Raw genomic sequence first — 22,513 nt, 5'->3', positions numbered from 1 at the left:
CTCTACTGAAAATACAAAAAATTAGCCAGGCATGGTGGCTCATGCCTGTAATCCCAGCTACTCAGGAGGCTGAGGCAGGAGAATCGATTGAACCTGGGAGGCGGAGGTTGCAGTGAGCTGAGATTGTGCCGTTGCACTCCAGCCTGGGTAACAAGAGCAAAACTCCGTCTTAAAAAAAAAAAAAAGGTCATAATATCTACGTCATGCAGACAGACCAACGTCCGCGGTGTAGACCTACATCTACAGCACAGGAGTCTTATGAGTTAAAGCTGCGCAATGCGTAATAGCTGTTGTTTTGTTGCCGCTGCTGTCATAATTGCCTTGGGGTCTCCTGCCCTCCTTCCGCCACTAGACTCTGGTTTTTGTCTCCCAGAACCATCGCAATGTCTGGCATGTAACAGCCGCTAGATGAGTATGAGGTGGGGTGGATAGGCGTTACTTCTTCCTCGCCGCCCACCTTCCCACACCGCCCAGGTGAGCTCTCCAGGCCCTGTTAGCGTCCCGAATTTCCCTGTTAGTGTCCTGTTAGCATCCTGAATTTCCACTTAGAAGAGCACTCACTACTCTTGAAATAGATTGTTGAATTTTTGCTTTCCCTGCCAGATTATCAACACCATTAATGGAGGGCTGTGACTTTCTCATTCACCATTTACACCCACCCGTGGTACCATGGCGGGAATATGGAACTCACTCAATGGATGTCTATAAGATGGATGAACGAGAAAATGAATTGAGTGAGCGAGTGGATGATTTCACAGAACTGCTGTGTCCCGGACCAAATACAGGATCAAACCTTGACCCTGTGCAATTCCAGATATGACCAACAGAGGGTGCACTGCTCTGAGGTTCATAAAGATAACGCGATTTCTGTCCTTAAAGCTTGAAAACCAGCTGAGTGACTGATGCTATCCGGCACGTGGCTTCAGGTAATGCCCGGTTTAATGGCCTCAGTTGAAGCTGCCGACTTTCCACAGCTGAGCTCCCAGCCAAGCTGGGGCAGTAAGACAGCTTTGTTAGGGCTAAAAAGCCTTTTCTGTATTTCGAAGATGTAGGTACAATCCCAGTAAGGCATTCAATGGCATAATTTTATTGGCAGAGTTAGCGTATATTTTAATCAGGCATTAAAGATGGTGGGACTCACACTGGCCTGGAAATCCTGATTCTGTGCTCACCTGTATAAAACCTTGAACAAGGGGTTTCCTCATTCATTCACCCACTCATTTCATTTATTGGACAAACTTTTTCTGAGTGTGAAGTATGCCAAAAGCACAGGAATATTTGAGTTGAAAAGTCAAGTCCTTGTCCTTAGAGAGCTCAGAGATAAAAGGGGTATGATAGGCATGAAACAGACATTTCAACACCAGAGCCATCATACAGACTGTGTCAAATGGCACAGAGGCACAGAGAAGGAGCACCCAATTCATCCCAGGAGATGCGGTCAGGAAACAGCTCTAGGAAGAGGTGGCCTTCAAGCTTTGTCTGAAAGGATGGGTGAATGAACAGGTGCAGGGATGGAGTCCCTGGCAGGAGGACCAGCAAGAGCAAACGCAGGGAGGCTTGGAGGCGTGCGTCTTGCTTGAAGAAGTGCACTAAGGGCAGTTAGTGTGCAAAGTATTCATGCACGGACCAGATAAGGGCCTTTTGTACTGAGAGCAGAGGCCCTACTTCATCCAGATGGCAAAAGAGAACTTTTGAAGGATTTTAAGCAGGGAGCTGACAGGGCCAGTGTTGTATTTTGAAAGATCACTCTGTTGACCAAGCAGGCAATTGGGATGGAAGGTGGCTGGTGGGAGGAGGCCTCTCTGAGCTCAGTTTTCTCACCTGAGATGTCTGAGAGTGGAAGAAGATGGCCTAGAAACTTCCTTTGGGTTCAATGTTCTGTTTTTTCCACACACAGATATAGACACTTTAGTCCTTCAGCGTGAACAGAGGTTATCAGAAACACATCACAACTGGGGGTTGAGGGGGAAAGGTTTCCAGCAAGCTGGGGTCTAAAAATACCATGATCTAACTGGGTCTGTCTGTCACCCACTACTTCAGTGGGTCTGATGCGGTGTCAAGAAGCTGTTGTCTGTATCTGTCTGCAGCCCTAGTTAAGAAAAGCCTGCAGGAAGCAATTAAGAAGGGAAGATGCCACTCACCTTGGACGGGTGTCCCGCTGAGGCACTCTGCAGTTAACAAAGTGTCTAACAAAGTGTCCAAAGGCAGAACTCGAAGTCAGACACTTTCCTGGAGTTGTCCCTGACCTTCAGAAAATGGGACCACTGTGGCCTTTGTGGAACCTACGTTCTCCTGGTAATGCCAAGGAAAGAACCCAGAAAGAAATGCTCTCTATTCCTCATCCCAGGAGCCCCATGCCCAGGAGGGTTCCGTTTTGCTCATGAGGCAAGAGCAGAGGAGACAGGGAGATTTATGAGAAAGGGACACAGTCCTTCACAGGCAAGTTCACCAGATACAGATGGCAGAAAAAGTGTTCCTGGAAGAGGAAACAGCTTAGATAATGATCTCGAGTCAGGAATCGTACTAACCTAATGCGATTGTGTTGGGACAGGTCTTGAGCGTTGCTTTTTCAGTAATTGGAGACATCTCTAATGTCAAAGGGGACAGCCTGGGAGACTGCTCAGGTCTCGATGTTATATTGACAAGACTGGCAGGACTGGTATCAATGAGGGATTTCCTAGTCCTTGCAATACTGTAAACATTCACCTATAAAACCCCCTGGGTGGCCGGGTGCGGTGGCTCACGCCTGTAATCCCAGCACTTTGGGAGGCCGAGGCAGGCGGATCATGAGGTCAGGAAATCGAGACCATCCTGGCTAACATGGTGAAACCCTGCCTCTATTAAAAATACAAAAAAAAAAAAATTAGCCGGGCGTGGTGGCGGGCGCCTGCAGTCCCAGCTACTCGAGAGACTGAGGCAGGAGAATGGCATGAACCCGGGAGGCAGAGCTTGCAGTGAGCCAAGATAGCGCCACTGCACTCCAGCCTGGGCGACAGAGCGAGAATCCGTCTCAAAAAAAAAAAAACCCTGGGCCTGCCAGTGGTTATTTGTATGTGCACATTGATTTTAAAAACTTATAAGGGTATATGCAGTTTGAAACTATGTACGTGCATTTAAAAATACGTAAGACAGTGCTGTAAATTGTTTAGGTATTTATCCTTAAACCATGAAAGTCTGGGCAGGAAGACTGTATGCCAACTTCGATACAGAGGCAACCTCTGGGGAGACGGAGGCAAAGGTTTTATAACATCTGCAACGTTTTTCGACAAAGAGAATATGCTATTAAATTACTTTTCTATGTGTGTTTTAAGTGTTTCATAATTGGGGATTAACATATGAAAATGGAAATCACTGACAGCAATAATAAAACTAGAGCTCTTTTCTGGAATCCATTCATTCGGGTGCTGGTTCATCAGGGCTCTGCCTTCTGCAAGCCCCACTCTCCAGTCTGCCTCTCCCCAACCCAGACCTGCTCTCTTTCACCCAGACCAGGTGGCACCTTAGAATCGAGTTGCTTTCTCCAGACGCCTGACCCATCACAGCCGTAGGCCTTCCTGAGTCTGATCGGTGCTACAGAGATGGGATTTGAGGCCTGCATTGCCACTGGGTTCACTCTGCCACCTCCTACACCATCCTGGCCCAGACCCTAATGTGGCCTTCTATCTGATTGCTGTTCCAGAAGTGGAGGAGGAGAAGCTGCCCCTCCCTGGTGTAGGATCACCTACTCACCGCGGGCTCAGGTCAGTTCTCCATGCCTCTCAGCCCTGCCTGCTTGGTCACCATCCCCAGTGGAAACCCCTCCAGGCACCCAGTTTTTTCTACCACCTCATGTTGCTCCCTGACCCAAATTTCCTCTGCTCTCCTACCTGCCCCCTTCCCCACTGTGCATTCCAGAATCCCAGCTGTAGAGCAGGAATGCCCTCTGCTCTCATGCTGCTAATAAAGACATATCTGAAACTGGGTAATTTATAAAGAAAAAGAGGTTTAATGGACTCACAGTTCCACGTGGCTGGGGAAGACTCACAATCCTGGTGGAAGATGAAAGGCACAGCTTACAAGGTGGCAGACAAGAGAGAGTGAGAGCCAAACAAAAGTGGAAACCCCTTATAAACCCATCAGATCTCATGAGCCTTATTCACTACCACGAGAACAGTATGGGGGAAACTGGCCCCATGATTCAATGATCTCCCACCAGGTCCCTCCCACAACACGTGGGAATTGTGGGAGCTACAATTCAAGATGAGATTTGGGTGGGGACACAGCCAAACCATATCACCTCTCTATCCTGAACCTCTCATTCAGCTCTCTTCATCCTCCCTGCTGAGGCTTGGCTGTCTTCCAAGGGTGCCACTTCCTGACAGGCTTCTTCTCACATGAGGGACAGACACAGGCTGAAATTCTTCTTAATCCCCACTGCTCCTCCTAGACCATTATTTCTTCAGCTTCACATACAAAGCCCGTTCTTTCAGGATCACATCCTCAGGCCAGATAGTCCTATGCTGTTCCTTCCTGCCGTTGTCTCCAAAACCCCAGACATTCTTCTTTATTTACAGAGCACTCTGGCACCTGAACGCTGCACTATGAATGCCTTTGAGTATTACAGGCTGCAAACCTGCCACTGGCTGAATCAGCCCTGCACACATTATTTATTTGTTTTTAAATAGGAATGTGTATTAGCCAGCTCAGGCTGCCATAACAAAATAGTCCAGATTGAGTGGCTTAAGCAAGAGATTTATTTTCTCATAGTCCTGGAGGATGTAAGTCTGAGGCCAGGGTGACAGTAGGATTGGTTTCTGCTGAGGGTGCTCTCTCTAGTTTGCAGATGGCCATCTTCTTGCTGTGTCCTCACATGGCCTTTTCTCTGTGTGCATGCAGGGGACGCAGGAATAGGAGAGGGAGAGGGAGAGGGAGAGGGAGGGGGAGGGAGAGAGAGAGAGAGAGAGAGAGAGAGAGAGAGAGAGAGAGAGAGAGAGACAGGGAAAATAAATGAGCTCTGTCTCTTCTTATAAAGATACTAATCCTATTAGATTAGGGCCCCCAACCCATGACCTTGTTTAACCTTAATTACTTCCTTAGAGGATCTATTTCCAAATAGAGACACACTGGGGGCCAGGGCTTTGCCCTGTGAATTCTGGGGGGATGCAAGCTGATATGGTTTGGCTCTGCATCCACACCCAAATCTCATCTCGAATTGTAATCCCCACACTCCCCACGTGTCGAGGGAGGGACCTGGTGGGAGGTGACTGGATCATGGGGGCAGTTTCTCCATGCTATTCTCGTGATAGTGAGTGAGTTCTCATGAGATCTGATGGTTTTATTAGAGGCTCTTCCCCCTTCACTCCCTCTCTCTTTCCTGCTGCCTTGTGAAGGAGATACTTGCTTCTCCTTCACCTGCCTCTGTGATTGTAAGTTTCTGGAGGCCTCCCCAATCATGCAGAACTGAGTCAATTAAACCTCCTTTCTTTATAAATTACCCAGTCTCAGAGAAGTTTTTTATTGCAGTATAAAAACAGACTAATACACAAGCATTCATTCCATAAAATAAGGTGGATGTTGTTGGGAGCAAGCTCCCCAAAGTCTGGCCATAAACTGGCCCCAAAACTGGCCATAAATAAAATCTCTGCAGCAATGCAACATGTCCATAATGGCCATAACGCTCAGGCTGGAAGGTTGTGGGTTTACGGGAATGAGGGCAAGGAACATCTGGCCCACCCAGGGTGGAAAACCGCTGAAAGGCATTCTTAAGCCACAAACAAAAGCCTGAGTGATCTGTGTCTTAAGGACATGCTCCTGCTGCAATTAATTCGGCCCATCCCTTCGTTTCCCTTAAGGGATACTTTTAGTTAATTTAATATCTATAGACACAATGCTAATGACTGGTTTGCTGTTAATAAATATGTGGGGAAATCTCTGTTCGGGGCTCTCAGCTCTGAAGGCTGTGAGACCCCTGATTTCCCACATCACACCTCTATACTTCTGTGTGTGTGTCTTTAATTCCTCTAGCGCCGCTGCGTTAGGGTCTCTCCCTAATGCGGACTGAGCTGGTCTCGGCAAGATGTCTTTGAGCATGCATGCCCTCTTGTTCACTACCATCCCTACCATTCCCTATTTCTTTCTCCCTTCCTACCACAGTCTCTTGCATGTCTACCATGCTGAATGATCTTCACTCTCCTCTAGCTCAGCAGCCAAGTTCAGCTGCATCCTGAGCCATGTTGTCACCCAGGACCTTTGCATCCCTGAAGCCAGTCCACAACCTTCTGGTTACTGTTTCCTAACTTTCTATCCTGCTGAACTGCGTCCATTGGATCAGGTACAAAACCAGACTTCTACATCTTGGGACAGTTTTTGAACCAAGACCCTTGATGTGGCTGTGTTCCCCAGAGGCTCTGCCACACGTGAGGAAGACAATGAATCCAGCTCACACCCCATAAGAGAGCACAGAAAGAACTGGAGTTAGAAAATGGATGCAGTCAGGGGCAAGTAACTTAGCTTTCTGGGCCTCAATGTCCCCATCTGTAAATGTGAGAATACCAATTCCTTCTTCCTAAGCTTTTTGTGTAAATTAAACTTCATGTCCATGGATACGCTTTGTAAACCGCAATCATGGAGCACAGGGAGTCAGGTGTCACCTGAGAAGCACATGTTCCTCTAATTGATACTGGAGACACCATCTCCTTCTATGGACATATTAGTCAGGGTTCTCCAGAGAAACAGAACAGGACATATATGTGTGTAAATATTATGAGGAATCAGTTCACATGCGTCCAGAGGCTGAGAAGTCCCAAGATCTACAGTTGGTAAGCTGGAGAATCAAGAGAACTGATGGTGTCATTCCAGGCTGAAGACAGGCAGGTGCAAAACCCAGGAAGAGCTGAGTTTCAGTTCAAGTCAGAAAGGCAAAAAAGACCAGGGTCCCAGTCCAAGCACTCAGGCAGGAGGAGTTTCCTCCTAATCAGACTTTTTTATCTCTTCAGGTCATCAGTTGATTGGATGAGGACCCCCTATCTGCTTTACTAAGTCTACTGATTCAAATGTTATCCAGAAACATCCTCCCGGATGCACTCAGGATAATATTTGACCAAAGGTCTGGGCACCCTGTGGCCCAATCAAGTTGACACATAAAATTAATTATGTGGACACAGATTTTTCAAGGTCAGGAATTTCCTCTCCTTTTGCACATGCAATTGCAGTTGAGAATCTAGTGATTTAAACAGCCCTGCAAGATGCTTGGCTGATATCCTTGGACTTTATCTATGTCCAAGGACGACAGAATGAATGGATCCAAGACAGTAAGAGCAAGAATGTTTTGGAAGAGTGGAAAGTTTCATAGACACACTAGTAGGTGTTGGTATCATGGTTCAAATCAGTGTAACTTAATCGTTATTTTCTGAGAACCAATCACAGGCAAGACCATGGGCATGGCCCACTAGAAGCCCAGCAGGAGAGAGACGAGGGTTTTGGGATCCCTGAAGCATCCCAGTTCCATATGCAGTATGAGTCTGCCTAAGAGCATGTTGACAGTGTGACTTTGTGCCTCTCCCTGGGCCTCAATGTCCTCAACTGAACAAGCAGGTTCTGAATAATGTGAGGATGTGCAGAATCATCATAAACTAAAGCCCTGAGAAACGGCAGACAAGTTCCTTACATCTCTGAGCCTCGGTTTCCTGGTGGGTAAATGCAATAGTTATCAGTGCCCTCCTAGTTGGTGTGAGTGTTCATGAGACAGCGTCAGAGGATGCTTACCATGCATGATGGGTGGCCAGGGGGACGTCTCAGGTGCCACTTATTCATGAGTTTGGACATGGATTAGACATGTATTTACTGAGGGCCTGCTATGAGCAAGGGCTGTGCTAGGGGCTGGAGAAACAATAGCAAATCAATGAGAAGTCAAGGTCCCTTCCCTGAGGGGAACAAAGCAGAATCAGCCAAGTCGATAGCAGCCATCCCTTGTGGGTACTCATAGGCAGGTAAGACAAGAACACTGTGGGGCCCAAAGAGCAGATAGCAAACCCAGGCTGGGGCTGCATCACAAGAAAGGCTTCCCAGGAAAAATGACCCTGGATCTGAATTTCGATAATGAGTAAAAGTTTAGGACCTAAAGACAACACAGTTAACTCCTCATCTTGTTTCTTCTTCCACTTGTGCTGAGATGACTAAGACTTCCTTTCCTGGGGCCGTCTAATGTTAGACACTTTCAATCAACATACCTGAGAAAAAACCTCAGGATGCACTCAGGCTCACAGCAACGTCTAACTGTGTCCAGCTTTAACCTACACTTGTGTAGAACTCTGCGGTCACGTGGAGAATGAAGAAGTAGGGAGCCAAGAGAAAAGCTTCTTACATCACATATCAAAACACATTCCAGGTGGATGACAGAGGTTAGGTAAGTGTGAGACAATCCGTACACCACCAGAAGAATTAGACTTGAATATCTATCAAACATCTGGAGGGAGAAAAGACTTGCTAAGCACAGCATCACTGGAAACAAGCCCAAGGGAAAACAATGGGCAGAAGGGACGTCAGCAAATTTTAAAGTCTCTGCACTTGGAGGTGGGATGGGGAGAGGAGAAAAATAGTAGGAAAAATATTTGCAGCAAAGAGTTAATATTTTTATTATATAAAAAATTCATGGCCGGGCACAGTGGCTCACACCTGTAATCTCAGCATTTTGGGAGGCCAAGGTGGGAGGATCACCTGAGGTCAGGAGTTCGAGACCAGCCTGGCCAGCATGGCGAAACCCTGTCTCTACTAAAAATACAAAAATTACTGGGCGTGGTGACACGTGCCTGTAATCCCAGCTACTTGGGAAGCTGAGGCAGGAGAATTGCTTGAACTTGGGAGGTGGAGGTTGCAGTGAGCCGAGATTGTGCTACTGTACTCCAGCCTGGACAACAGAGTGAGACTCTGTCTCAAAAAAAAAAAAAAAATCAAACACATAAATAAGAAAAACTGAGTTTTCTGTAACTAAATGAGTAAAGGATACAATTTCCAAAAAGGGGCATAATTAGTAGGGAGACATATAGGAAAATGCACCTCCCCTCCTCTGTAGTAACAAACCACATGTAAGCTGAAATAAAGATGAGCTACCATTTATCCCTAGCAAAGCTGTGACCATAGAAGAGTCCCAGGGCTGGCAAGGGATGGAGCAGAAAGCTTTCTGCTCTTTGCCTGTGGGTTTGGAGAGGGCATTGTCTAGTGATACAACTTGTCTCTATTTAAAGGCTTTTGATAAAGATGATATATTGAGAGCTTTATGTTATAGACAAGAGGGAACAACTAAATATTTTTCTCTAGAGTCCTGAGGGTTAGTTAAGAGGGATGCAGGGACTCGTCAAGGTTGTTCGCGTATTCTTCACCCATTTGACATTTAGTTATTGAGTACCTACTATGTGCACGTATTCTTCACCCATTCGACATTTAGTTATTGAGTACCTACTATGTGCAGGATGCAGAGCTATCAGCGTTACTGGAACAGCAGTGAAAGGCAGCCAGGGTCTTTTAGTCAGCTGGTCCTCTGGCCAACTAGAGAGTGGTGCACAACACTTCCAGCAGCTTTGCAGTGTGCTAGAGTCATCCCCCTAGCATCTGAAAGCTTCAGAGAGGCATCCAATCTTGCAGAGCCAAGAGCTTCAGTCATTAGAGTCTCTCATTAATTTGGGATAACACACGCTCCTTGGGGACATTCATCGAGGAGGAGGCAGTGTCGGTGGCAGGATGTGGAAGCCACACACCTGGATGCTGGCCTTGCCTTGGCTCCTTTTCGGCTGTGGTCTCTTGAGCGAGTCGCTGGACCTACAGCTCCCACCATCAGACCTACACAAGGGGTTAGCAGAGGAGGGTTCAGGTCCTCCTAGGTGCGAAAGCATCTGTCAAACTGTGACATGTTGGACAGACGAGAGGTACATTCATTACGTAGGACACCAGGGCTTCTCTGAAAGCAGGTTATTTATTTCAATTAGCGCCTCAGGACCTTCCAACCCCTCCTGTTTGGGCTGCAGCATTCCAGGGGAGGGATGGGTTTCTCCTCGCAGTCTGGTGCTTAGAGAAGGACTGCCTCACGTGGTAATGACTCCACGCTCCTTTCAGCAGTTACAGAAGTCTAATGACCTGATGGCTAATTTTGTTCTGATTCATATATTGCTTAATTAGGATTTTACCCTGTAACAGATGGCTGTCTTCATTAAATCATGATCCATTCGCTCTGACTGGAAGCAGCTGGTTTGGGGGGTAGATGGCAATTTATTTTCTCCGTGTCAAAATGAGCCACGAGGAAAGGAATTCAGATGAAAATAATGCAGTTTGTTCCATTTAGTTTTATCCGTAAAATTAGAAGTTTTTCTTGTTTTGGTTTTTGTTTTCCCTTAAGTCTTTTAGAGGTCCGCACTATGATCTTTATAAACCTTAAGCAGTAGGGGAGTTAAGCAGGAAACTGAGTCACCCCCTGAGAAACCCCTAGAGGCAGTGGACCTTGCAGTTGCCTTTCTGGCTCCCAGAGTGGACCAGTCGTATCACACCAAGAAACAAATCTATGCTCTTGGAAAATAAATAGTTCTTGTTTTTATTTTGCATTTCTTTGTTTTGTTTTACAGGTGGGAGAGTAAGCCTCAGCGAGGGAAGGTCGCTTGCCCAAGAGCACCATGTGGTTTTGGTCAGAACGAGCTCCACAGCCGAGTTCCTCCCTACTCAGCAGGGGCCCCGGTCCAGCAGTGTCGCTACGCGTCACTATCGCCTGGAAACCTGTGAGAGATGTGGCATCTACCCCCAACCCCCAACCTGTTGAACCAGACTCTGCCTTTTATCCAGATCCTTGGGTGATTTGTGCGCTGGTAAATTTTAAGTAACCTAGACAACTCCAATCGTATCCAAGGCAGGGTGCTGACTTGAACATGACTTTCTTGGAAGTTGTCATTTATGTAGTGCATATGAGGGGCCAGGAACCTTGCAGCTTTTGCAAGGTGCTTCATGTATTTTATTTCATTTAATCCTCAGGAAAGTATTGAATACAAAGCAGATACTTTATTCTCGTTTTGTTGGTGGAGAAGTCAAGGCCCTGAGAGATTGAGTGGATTTATCCAAAGCCACACAGCTGGTAGATGAGATTTAAACCCAGGTCTGTCTAAAGGCCAAGCCTGCGCTTTCAGTGCTAAGCCAGTTGCTATGGTTTGAATGTTTGTGTCCCTTCCAAATTCATGTTGAAACTTAATCTCTAATGCAATAGTATAAAAAAGTGAGGCCTTTAACAGGTGATTAGGACATGACAGCTCCACTCTTAACAGTGGGACTGGTGCCTGTATAAAGAGTACTCTCTGTACTACTGTGAGGGAAGCAACCCTTTTTCACCCTTACCGCCATGTGAAGATGCAGTAAGAGCCGCCATCTTGGAAGCAAAGAGAGAGCCTTCATCAGACACTGAATCTGCTGGTGCCTTGACCTTGGACTTCCCAGCCTCTGGAACTGTGAGAAATAAAATTCAGTAATCTATATAAATTATCTAGTCTAAAGTATTTTTGTTATAGCTGGAACAGAGACACCAACATTATCGCTAAGCATCAATGACTTTTTAACCATTGTGAGAGCTAAAGAAGTCTTCAGCATCATTCTAAATGTATTACATTCATCCCTGCTCTCTGAAACTAATTAGTTCAAAAGTGTCACTTTTTCAAAATTATAAACTTCAAAATGAATATGTGTTATTTTAGAATACAAGGAGACACATAGATTCTGAGAAAGAGTACAGAACTGTTTGTCTCTCCACTGAAGGAACCCAGTCAGTGGAATTTTTAAAGCAAACTTTTTTATTTTAGAATAGCATTGGATATAAAGGGAAAAAATGTGAAGATAGTACAGAGTTTCCATGTCCTCCACATCCAGTTTTTCCTATTCTTAGCATCTTACATTAGTATGGTACATTTGTCACAGTTAATGAACCAATAGTGATAACTTATTATTTATTAACATCCATACTTTGTTCGGATTTCCTTAGTTTTTAACCTGTTGTGGGATTTTTTTTTTTTTTTCAGTTTCAAGATTCCATCCAGGATATCCCATGGCTTTAGTTATCACGTCCCCTTAGGCTCCTCTTGGCTGTGATGGTTTCTCCAACTTTCCCTGTTTTTGATGACCTTGACAGTTTTGATGATTACTCTCAGGTATTTTTTTTTTTTAGACAGAGTTTCACTCTTGTTGCCCAGGCTGGAGTGCAATGGTGCGATCTTGGCTCACCACAACCTCCACCTCCCAGGTTCAAGTGATTCTCCTACCTCAGCCTCCTGAGTAGCTTGGATTACAGGCATGTGCCATCACGTCTGGCTAATTTTTTTTTTTTTTTTTTTTTGTATTTTTAGTAGAGACGGGGTTTCTCCATGTTGGTCAGGCTGGTCTCGAACTCCCAACCTCAGGTGATCCGCCCACGTCGGCCTCCCAGAGTGCTGGGATTACAGATGTGAGCCACCGTGCCTGGCCTACTCTCAGGTATTCTGTGCCTGGCCTACTCTCAGGTATTCTGTGCCTGGCCTACTCTCAGGTATTCTGTAGACTGTCCCTCAATTGGGATTTTTCTGATATTTTTCTCGTGATTAGACTGGGGTTATGAGGTTTTGGGGAGAAGATCACAAAGGTCCTCACATCATACCAAGGGAGAGTGCATACTGTTCTCACAACGCATCACTCTGGATGCTGATCTTGGCCACCTGGCAATGGTAGTGCTTGTTAGATTTCTCAATTGTAAATTACTCGTTCCTCCCTCCCCCTGTCCATGCTATGCTCTTTGGAAGGAAGTCACTATGTGTAGCCCACACTTAAGGAGTGGGGAGTTGGAGAGTTATGTTCTACCTTATTTTTTTTTCTTTTCTTTTCTCTTTTTTTTTCTTTTTTTTTTGAGACAGAGTCTCACTGTGTCACCCAGGCTGGAGTGCCGTGGCACAATCTCGGCTCACTGCGACCTCCGCTTCCCTGGTTCAAGCAATTTTCTTGTCTCAGCCTCCCAAGTAGCTGGGACTACAGATGCGTGCCACCACACCAGCTAATTTTTTGTATTTTAAGTAGAGACGGGGTTTCACTGTGTTAGTCAGGATGGTCTCAATCTCCTGACCTCATGATCTGCCTGCCTCAGCCTCCCAAAGTCCTGGGATTACAGGCATGAGCCACCTCACCCGGCCTTTTGTTTTTTGTTGTTTTTTTTTTAATTTTTGCTGCTCCTTGCAGAGCAGGGCTAACTCCTGCTCCCAGGCAGTGTTCTCAGAGTCAGCCATGCTCTACCTTCTTAAGGGCAGAGCATCTGTATAAATTATTTGAAATTCTGCATGTGAGATGTGCCTGTGGTGTCTCATTTATTTATTTATTCAATCACATATTTATATCAGTATAGGCTCATGGACATTTATTCTATAATTTGGATTATAATTTAATACTCTTTTATTTATCACGTTGCTCAAATTGTTTGAGCATTGACCACTGGGAGATCCTTCAGTTGGCTCCTGCCTCCCTTTGACATCCCCTCATCACTGTGGGTTTCCTTTTGCACACTTCCTTGCTCTCTGACACTGCAGGAAGCTAAGATGCTCCAGGCTTATCTTGCATCCTCCTTTTCTAGCCCAAGAATCAGCCATTTCTGTAAGGGGCTGCTTTGTGGCTTGTGTCTGTGTGTGCTTTATGTAGCTGGTCGGGTTTCCCCTGACATCAGCTTCACCCCCATTACTACCTGCTGTGGGCTAATTCCCTGTGTTGAACTTTCCCTCTCCTAGTTCATGACTTCTAATCAGCTGCTGATTGGGAATTGGCAGCCCTGTCAGATCAGAACCACTCCCACTTCGTGTTCTTCACCCTCTTCACTCACCGCACCCCACACTCAGCCTTCCGTTGTCTCCTCTCACACGCCAAGCTTTCCACTGCCTCGGGCTGTCCCTCCCCCTCGGACACTCTTCCGAGGCCCCTTCTCACTCTTCACCTCTCACTCAAATGCTCCCTCCTCAAAGAGTCCTCCGCTGACCACCCTATCCAAAAAGAGTCGCTCAGACTAATCGCTGTTTCAACACTTGTCTTCTTTAAAATTGATTTTGTCAATGATTTTGAATCTCTGAACCTCTCCACCACTAGTCTGTAAGCTCAAGTGGAACCACATCTATTTTGTCCAGGGTAATATGCTGTAGCAGTTAAAATGGTGGCCTTTGGAATCCAGGTGCCTAGGTTCAGATCCCACCTCTGACACTCACCAGCAGCGTGATTTTAGACAATTCACTTAATCTCTGTATGCCACCATGACCTTATCTGTAAAATGGGTGTGATGATAGACTAATATATAATAAAAGGCTTAGAACAATGCCTGAAATGTAGTAATGATTGGAAATGCTACGTTATTTTTTCCTAAGTGTTCAGATAGGCAGTTTCGTTAGCTCTGGTGTCTTACTGACTGAGATTCCATGGTGTAACAGAGCTAGACAATTAGCAAGAAGCATGCATTGCAACCACTTCAAACTGCACCTTGGATCAAATTGCTGAACACTGGACACTTGCTGTGAAAGGGCACCTTACAGGCCTCACAGTGGCTGGGATGTGGAAGATCCTGTTTCTGAAAATGACACAATCCCTTAGGAACTCCTGGACATCCAGACTCCTTCAGACCACAGGGGAGTCTGTTCCTCCAAACATGCATAGAGCATTCCTGCCCGTACCCCTCTATTTATGCTGTTCCCTCAGCTGAAACAGCTGCCACAGCCATCTCTCCCTTCCATCCTTTCTGGGAACCCCCTTGTGCCTGGCATCTAGTTGGCCACTAGGGATGGGGGATGTGCAATATCAGGGCTTGTTCCTGCCCTTCCAGGGGCACGAACCTACTGCCTGATTCCTCCCCAGCTGGGAGTCCTACTGGTGCATGGAGCTGGATCCCTAAATAAGCCCCTCCCACCACAGTCTCTCTGGCCATTCCTGTCTTATCTACCCTTTATTATACCCCGCCTTGTGTATCACTATAGTAATAACTTCATTAATAGCAATAATAATGCACAATGCTCAATCCCACCAAGTGCTTCCCAGATATCATCTCCTCAGAGCCTCATGTCAACCCTTGAGGCTGGCAGAGCTGGGGCTACACATCCTTGTTACAACATTGGGGCTTACAAGCACCCCTCCAGCACACAGTCAGTGCCCAACAAATGCCTGCCAAGTGAATGAGTAAATACACAAACACAGGAAATACTGGCTTGGGAGGCTCACACTCCCACAGCTGGTAAGCATGTGTCTGGAGCATGACTCCCAGGCTTCTGCTCTAAGCCTGTTCCCCTTTGCAGAGGGATGGGGAGGAAGGGATAAATGATGAAGCTACATTTCTGGTGTTGCCTTGGCAGCCCCTATGGAATACAATGGGGACAATGGAGGGACAATGTCAGTGTCTTGATTCTCTGACTACTTAAATGTTATTATTATTTAATAATAACTGTCACCCATTAAGGTGCTTCCACGTGTTAAGTGGTTTTCTTATGCATCTCATCTCATCCTCTCAACAGCCCTGCAAGATAGGTAGCCGTATCCCTCCTTGCAGGAATGGATCAGAAGGGAGAAGTAGTGGAGAATGCCCAGCTAGTGAGGATGGAATATTTGAATCAATATCTGCTTGCTCCAAAGCTCTTGCCATGTATACTGACCTGTCATGTTGAAAACTGGGGCAATCTCTCAGGGTTCTACATTTGAAGCATCCAAGAGGCTCTTAGGGAGGATGAACACACACACACACAGAGACAGACACAGAGTGAGAGGAGAGAGGGGGGTTGATTAGAGTCATCGGGAGATGAAAAGAAGATTGTGGTACTGAGATTCCTGTACCTACAGTGCACAAACAGAAGCTTCCCTCTTCTTCAGCCCACCATTCAAACCACTTTTCCATATCTCCTCCCTTAGCTCCCCTTCCATGGAGCCCTATAATTTCAGTTCTAGAAGACACACAGAAATCAAATCACCAACTTTCCTCCTTTTACAAATAAAATAATTGAAGATCAGAGAAGGCAAAAGGCTTGTTCAAGGGTGAACAGCAACTTGACACCACAGTGGGCAGTAGGATCCATGCTTTTTGACTCCTAAGTCATTCCCCTGGGTGACCTTGACATACACGGTAACCTGGTTTCCCCTGGTTTTACTTGGGAGTTGCCATGAGGTTTGGCATAATTCATCCCCCGTCTCATCTCTGTGCATGTCCTAGGCTTGCAGAACATGTCCTCTGAAGATGGAGATCTTCAGCCCTTAGTCACCCAAGGACTCTCCCTTACCCCCACAATTAGGCTTTAGAAGAAGAATGTGAAGATTTTTTTCTCAAAACTCACTTTGGATCCTTCTTCTGCATCATCCTTCGATACTCTCCCAAGTCCCAGCCAGGGCAGCGGGGACTTGGCTGCAGAGCCCAGAGCTCCAAATTACAGTTGGATCAGACTCCCTCGTTCATTAGCCCCTGGCACCCAGTGTTTGGTGGGGACAGAACCCAAGAAATGATGAATAGTCCCTGATTCATTTCCAGCCTGATGGCAGTGGAGCCATCCACCTTGCCATTAAGACAGCCCCATGCCTGGTAAGGGAGATGCAGGCAAACAGAGATGAATATTTTTATGATCCAGCTCTGGGTAAATTCATTTCAGGGCCTGTTGAGCTTCAGGGCAAGCAGGAAGAGATTAAATAAGTTAATGGTTGTGATAGCACTTTCTAAACTGTAAAATGGTTGTGAAAGCACTTTCTAACGGTGAAGTGTTATGTAAATGTGCGCTGGGATGAGTGTGTGAGCCATCCTGAGAGGGTGTGGGTGCAGTGTGGGAAGCAGCACTCCTCAATGCCGCCAACCTCTGCTCAACTATTTCTAGCTATTTCATTAATTTAGGTTTATAATCTTTGCTATCAAGCCAATGTTTTTTCTCCCCCTTTGAGGAACTTTCCCTTGCAGCAGGCTGTGCTGCCCTACTTCGTGGCTTCAGTTTAAAAGTGCATCACGCCTGTAATCCCAGCACTTTGGGAAGCCAAGGCGGGCGGATCACAAGGTCAGGAGTTCGAGACCAGCCTGGCCAACATGGTGAAACCCCGTCTCTACTAAAAATATAAAAATTAGCTGGGCGTGTTGGCGGGCGCCTGTAATCCCAGCTACTCAAGAGGCTGAGGCAGGAGAATCGTTTGAACCCAGGAGGTGGAGGTTGCAGTCAGCCAAGATCACACCACTGCATCCAGCCTGGCTGACAGTGCAAGACTCTGTCTCAAAAAAAAAAGTGCACGCCGATGGCAAGGAAGGTTTTCAATCACTCCTTAATCAAAAGTAGAATTTTCTATAAAATTAGTTAAATCTGGTAAGTCTTAGAGAACACTGAATAACCTCATGAAGCTTTATAAAAGACACAAACACTATAGGAAGAGTTTGATATTTTTCTAATCAATAATTATTATTAGTGATTACATGACCGCATACTCTTGTCAAAATTTATAAATTATACACTTAAAATTGGTAAATTTTATTGAATGTAAATTATGCCTCCATAAAGCTGATTTTTTTAAAAAGGGATAAATACCCAGGGACACTTTGGCAATTTTCAATTATTATTACATTTAACCTAATGCATTTCTAGGCACTGTAGGGGAGGAAGAATCTATCACTAAATTCATCTATCACTAAATTCATGGCTGAGGCCTCGCAAAGACAGATTAACAAGAGAAAAGCATACAGATTTATTTTATTTAAGTTTCATGTGACATGGGAGGCTTCCTAAGGAAAAGGAAGACCTGAAGAAATGTGTAAGGTTTTACAATTTTTATGCTAAGTTTGATGAAGAGTGGATAGCTTTGGAGAAATATAACTGGACAAAGATGGTATGAGCAAATGGTGACAAACTGGAAGAATTTAGTAAGTCCTGTTCAGATTCTTCTCTGTGACCCTGTGACTTCAAAGGTAAGAATGTTCCTTTCTTCTGGTTACAGGGAGGGGCCTTTCAAAGAAGACCTGCTTCAGGAGGGGGAAAGGGAGGTGGATGGTGAGAATGACCTTCCTGCTTCCGCCATTTTCTCAAACACCAAGGTGCCATATTTTGGGTTAGCATATCCTGAACCCATCAGTATAGACTGTACCTTCCTACATTATTTAAAATCTTAACTTCAAAACACACAGTCTTGAAAAGAATTCCGAAACTTCATATCAAACCCCCCTAATAATTTTCTATTTTCTAGTTTTGCACTTCAAATTTAAAAGGCATTCTTTTCTATCATAGCTTCCTGCTGATTACAAGAGAGCCCTCGTCTTCATTTTCTAACCCTAATCAGCTAGAAAATTCTCCCTGACTCTCTTCTGCCACAGTCCTCACTGGGCAGATTCTCAATGAGGAAATGTAAAGGAGGTCATTTTCAACGAGGCTGCAGGGAGAGGGTGTCTGCTTTGCCAGCTGTGTTCTAGTTGGAAGTTCCCAGGCATGTGTGACTTTAAAGTTAGGCAAGATAAACATTTTCTTTGCAACAATACAGCATTGACAGTGGGTCCAGCATTTTCAGTGATTCTTGCTGTCATGTGGGAACTCTTATTTCTGTTTTGTTTTTTTTTTTTGGAGACAGAGTCTCGCTCTGTCACCCAGGCTGGAGTGCAGTGGTGCAATCTCAGCTCACTGCAACCTCTGGCTCCCTTGTTCAAGCAATTCTCCTGCCTTAGCCTCCTGAGTAGCTGGGATTACAGGTGCACGCTGCCACGCCTGGCTATTTTTTTGTATTTTAGTAGAGACAAGGTTTCACCGTGTTGCCCAGGCTGGTCTCGAACTCCTGAGCTCCGGCAATCCACCTGCCTTGGCCTTCCAAAGTGCTAGGATTACAGGAGTGAGGCACCGCACCCAGCCAGGAACTCTAATTTCTAACTCTTGATATTTGCACTGTTAAGAAATGAGCATGATTAACGTAACTCCCGATGTCTCCTTTTCCTTCCATATGGAGGGAATTTTATTAGAAGTCTTTCTCTGCTCCTTTATTAAATCTCTCTGGGGGCGGAAGTGACTTATCTGATTGGCAAATATGAAAAAATGAAGCAGGCAGGCTGAGTTTGGTTCCTTGTCTTTATCTTGAGAGTGAACCTGTTTGTAGGAACATGAGTTCTCTGCTTCTCCACGTCCTAAAGCTAATCTGGGCAGACCCCTCTCCATATAGACCCAGTGTCCTGTCCCACTCCAGCTGCTGGGACGGGGTAGTTAAGTCAGTTCAACTTTAGGGTTTAAGTTTAGTAAGCCTACTTACCCAAGGATATAAGCCATGCCCTCCAACCTAGCCTTTGTGACAGCTTGATGTTTCATTCACCCCTTTTGGACAGTGAAGGGGTTGTCATTATTGAATTACACTCAAATACCCCAAGACTTGTAAGAGAAGGCAGTGGGCATGCATTGAATTCTCAGTCCTATCAATTAACTAGAGTGTGACTATGGATCTACCACCTGATCTTTCTGAACCCCATCTGTAAAATGATAGGAAAATCATTATGGAGAGTAATGATACCAGCATCATTGAGCAGGTGTGAGTATCAAATGAGTAATAAATACCAGATAGCTTGGCCAACTGTGATGACCTTTATAAAGTGAGCCATGCCTAAAAACACTGTAACAAGGTCTTTGGTAAACATATACAATGCACACATGCACGTAGAGATCCAAGCTATTTACATGACATCTGTTCACTTAGCGCTTCATAGATCATTGTCCACTTCATAGTCTTGGCTCTGGAACTAGCCCTAGCAAGACTTAGTAGCAGGTGAAGGCACCACTTTGTTGGATGTCACATGAATGTGGTGAGGTGGCTGACAGCATAGATTCTGATGCCAAACAGAACTAGTTTGTCTTCCAGGTCTGCCACTCACTAGCTGGGTGTCTGTGGGTGAATTACTTCATACTTCACTCTTCTTAGTCTTGACTTCTTCTTTTTTCTTTTTTTCTTTTTTTTTTTTTTTTGAGACGGAGTCTCGCTCTGTGGCCAGGCTGGAGTGCAGTGGCACAATCTCGGCTCACTGCAACCTCCGCCTGCCAGGTTCATGTGATTCTCCTGCCTCAGCCTCCCAAGTAGCTGAGACTACAGGTGCGTGTCACCATGCCCAGTTTAGTCTTGAATTCTTTGTCTGAAAAATAAGAATAATAATAACTGATGGTGATAATGAAACCTGCTTTGTAGGGTTATTATAAGGAGCAAATGAAGGAAGGCATGGGATGAATCCAATACAAGTTTGGGCACATCATAGGCATCTATTACATGCTAACAGGCATTATGATGTCTACCCACCACCTCCATCATGGCACCTATGACACACAACTCCCAGGCTGGTCCGGATTCTCACCATAGCTCCTTGTCTGAGCCCAGCCTCCTTCTTAGCCTTTGTAGCCCACTCCTCTCAGCAACTCATATGTTCTCAATTCCTCCAGTCAACCACCCCATCCCACCCCACCATGCCCTGTTTACCCCAAGCTCCTGGCAGATGAACAGGAACTATGCTCATTTATTTATTTATTCAGTAAGTGCATACTGGGCAACTCCTCCATGCCAAACCCTGGGTGGGAGTTGGGGTCACAGAGGCAAATCAGCCTCATTCTCCCATTCTTGAGGAGCTCACTCATGAGTGAGTAATGAACACAAATGGCTCCACTCCATGGCAAGATGTGAAGGGGAAACTCCAGAGGGACAGGCAGTGCCTTGTGAGCACAGGACATGGTTCTTTCCAAGGAGGTCACATTTAACTAGAACTTCAAAGGCAGGAGGTGCTGAGGAGGAGCTTGCAAAACAAAGGAAATGGTGAGGAAAAGTACTAAGATAAACAAAGGCATGGAGGAAGGAAATGACAAGGATTGTGAGATGAAAGGTTATAGCAATCCAGAGCCTAGAGTGCTTAGGAGGAGACCACCAAGAAGAACTTTGTAATCAGAGGTAAGGTTGGGCAGGTGAGTTGAAGTTAGGCTTTGCAGAGCCCTGGATTTTGTCCCCAGGACTCGCATGTGCTGTGGGAGTCCATTAAAGGTCTTTGCACCAGAGCATGCAGGAATGAGGGCAGCTCCTTAGGACAATGATGCAATCAAGTAGGAAGAATGGATTGTGGAAGGGTGGGGAGGACCAGAAACCTTCTGAAGACCAGTTGGCAGTAAGAGCATCATCACAGTTTTCTAACTTATACAAGAAGTGGCTACTGAGTTCCGTATGTCAGGCAGAACCTGTGTCTTTGGATAGGACACTTGAACCTTCCCGGGCCTCTGTTTCTTCATCTGTGAATGAAGGATGTCAATATTCAGGAACAAAGCCTATGCCTCTGGCGTCAGATCTTGGGCATGGGTTGTTCCTGCTGCTTTCTGGAGTCTTCTGCCGCCTTTGCGACGCACTCCCTAGGACCCTGCTCGGTCCAGCCAACTCTTCTGAACTTGAGGACTGACAATATCTCCTCATCCTTCCCCAAGCTCCACTAGATTGTCATGTCCTGAGGACAGAGGCAGACATGTCCATATCATCTGGACATGCCTAGTAGGTGCTTGCCTTGAAATTGAATGTCACGTGAATGTCAGCATTCTCTGAAAAGGCATATTCTCCAGTCAGATGAGGAGCCATGGGTGCCCGGGATTTCATCTATCGAGCCTTTACTTCATGCATAGAAACTGTGGCTGGGGTCTCTCTCTTTTTTTTTTTTTTTTTTTTGTCCTTATTTACAATTGTGATGTTTTTTATTTTATGAGTTTTTTTCTTTCCTTTTTTTTTTTTAATCATATTTTAAGTTCTAGGGTACACATGCACAACGTGCAGGTTTGTTACATATGTATACATGTGCCACGTTGGTGTGCTGCATTAACTCGTCATTTACATTAGGTATATCTCCTAATGCTATCCCTCCCCTGTCCCCCCACCCCACAACAGGCCCCGGTGTGTGATGTTCCCCTTCCTGTGTTCAAGTGTTCTCATTGTTCAATTCCCACCTATGAGTGAAAACATGCAGTGTTTGGTTTTTTGTTCTTGCAATAGTTTGCTGAGAATGATGGTTTTGGCTGGGGTCTTTAATGACCTTTGCTTAGCCCTCCAAGAGGCTTAGGAAATGGATGTTTGTGCTCTCATGTTCCCAATGACCAAGCTGAGGGCCAGAAAGATAAGGCATTTGCCTAAGGTCACAAAGTAAGGACACAGCAGAGCTGGGACCAAACACAGATGGGGCTGTCTCCTCACCAGTATTCTTTCAGCTACATCCCACATCAGACTCACATTGGCCCCCATCCCCACCCAGCACCTCTCATTCTCTAGGGCTTTTGAGTGGCCCCTGCATATCTCAGGATCCTCAGCATGATGGTTCTCCCCACCTCAAAGAGAATGGCAGCAACATGATCTGGGGATGAATTAGCACATGAATGCATCTCGTCCATCACCCACTCCCAAAGGAAAAACAAAATATTAAACATGCTCTGTGTGCCCTTTCCTATCCTGGTGGAGAACAACAATTAAAACTTCTCATTGCAGGAGTTGCCCTAGAGAAAAATGAAAGGAAATTGAATGTGAAAATGAGGGGAGAGCG

The 22,513-nt window shown here is 45.6% G+C and overlaps 2 long non-coding RNA genes across 2 annotated transcripts in view, besides 1 other annotated feature; one reads left to right on the top strand and one right to left on the bottom strand.

The window, feature by feature from the left end:
- Positions 1 to 385: 385 nt before the first annotated feature.
- Positions 386 to 3,769, top strand: LOC105370644 (uncharacterized). The gene is made up of 3 exons (XR_944178.2): positions 386 to 474; positions 604 to 926; positions 3,488 to 3,769. It is a non-coding gene; the product is annotated as an uncharacterized LOC105370644 (long non-coding RNA).
- Positions 4,240 to 4,423: a silencer, noted in NCBI's record as "fragment chr14:96237254-96237437 (GRCh37/hg19 assembly coordinates)". NCBI's record gives its function as "represses an EF-1alpha promoter that drives an FKBP-Casp9 reporter gene in an ReSE screen in K562 erythroleukemia cells {active_cell/tissue: K562}" and the evidence as "EXISTENCE:reporter gene assay evidence [ECO:0000049][PMID:32094911]".
- Positions 18,561 to 22,513, bottom strand: part of LOC107984703 (uncharacterized) — a 41,297-nt gene continuing 37,344 nt past the window's right edge. Inside the window, exon 3 of the long non-coding RNA NR_148060.1 lies at positions 18,561 to 20,095. This is a non-coding gene — a long non-coding RNA (uncharacterized LOC107984703). The remainder of the gene's footprint in view (positions 20,096 to 22,513) is intronic.

This window comes from Homo sapiens, chromosome 14 (genome assembly GCF_000001405.40).
Source record: "Homo sapiens chromosome 14, GRCh38.p14 Primary Assembly".
In the NCBI taxonomy this organism is placed as follows: domain Eukaryota; kingdom Metazoa; phylum Chordata; class Mammalia; order Primates; family Hominidae; genus Homo; species Homo sapiens.
This window is presented reverse-complemented; position numbering and strand designations above follow the sequence as displayed.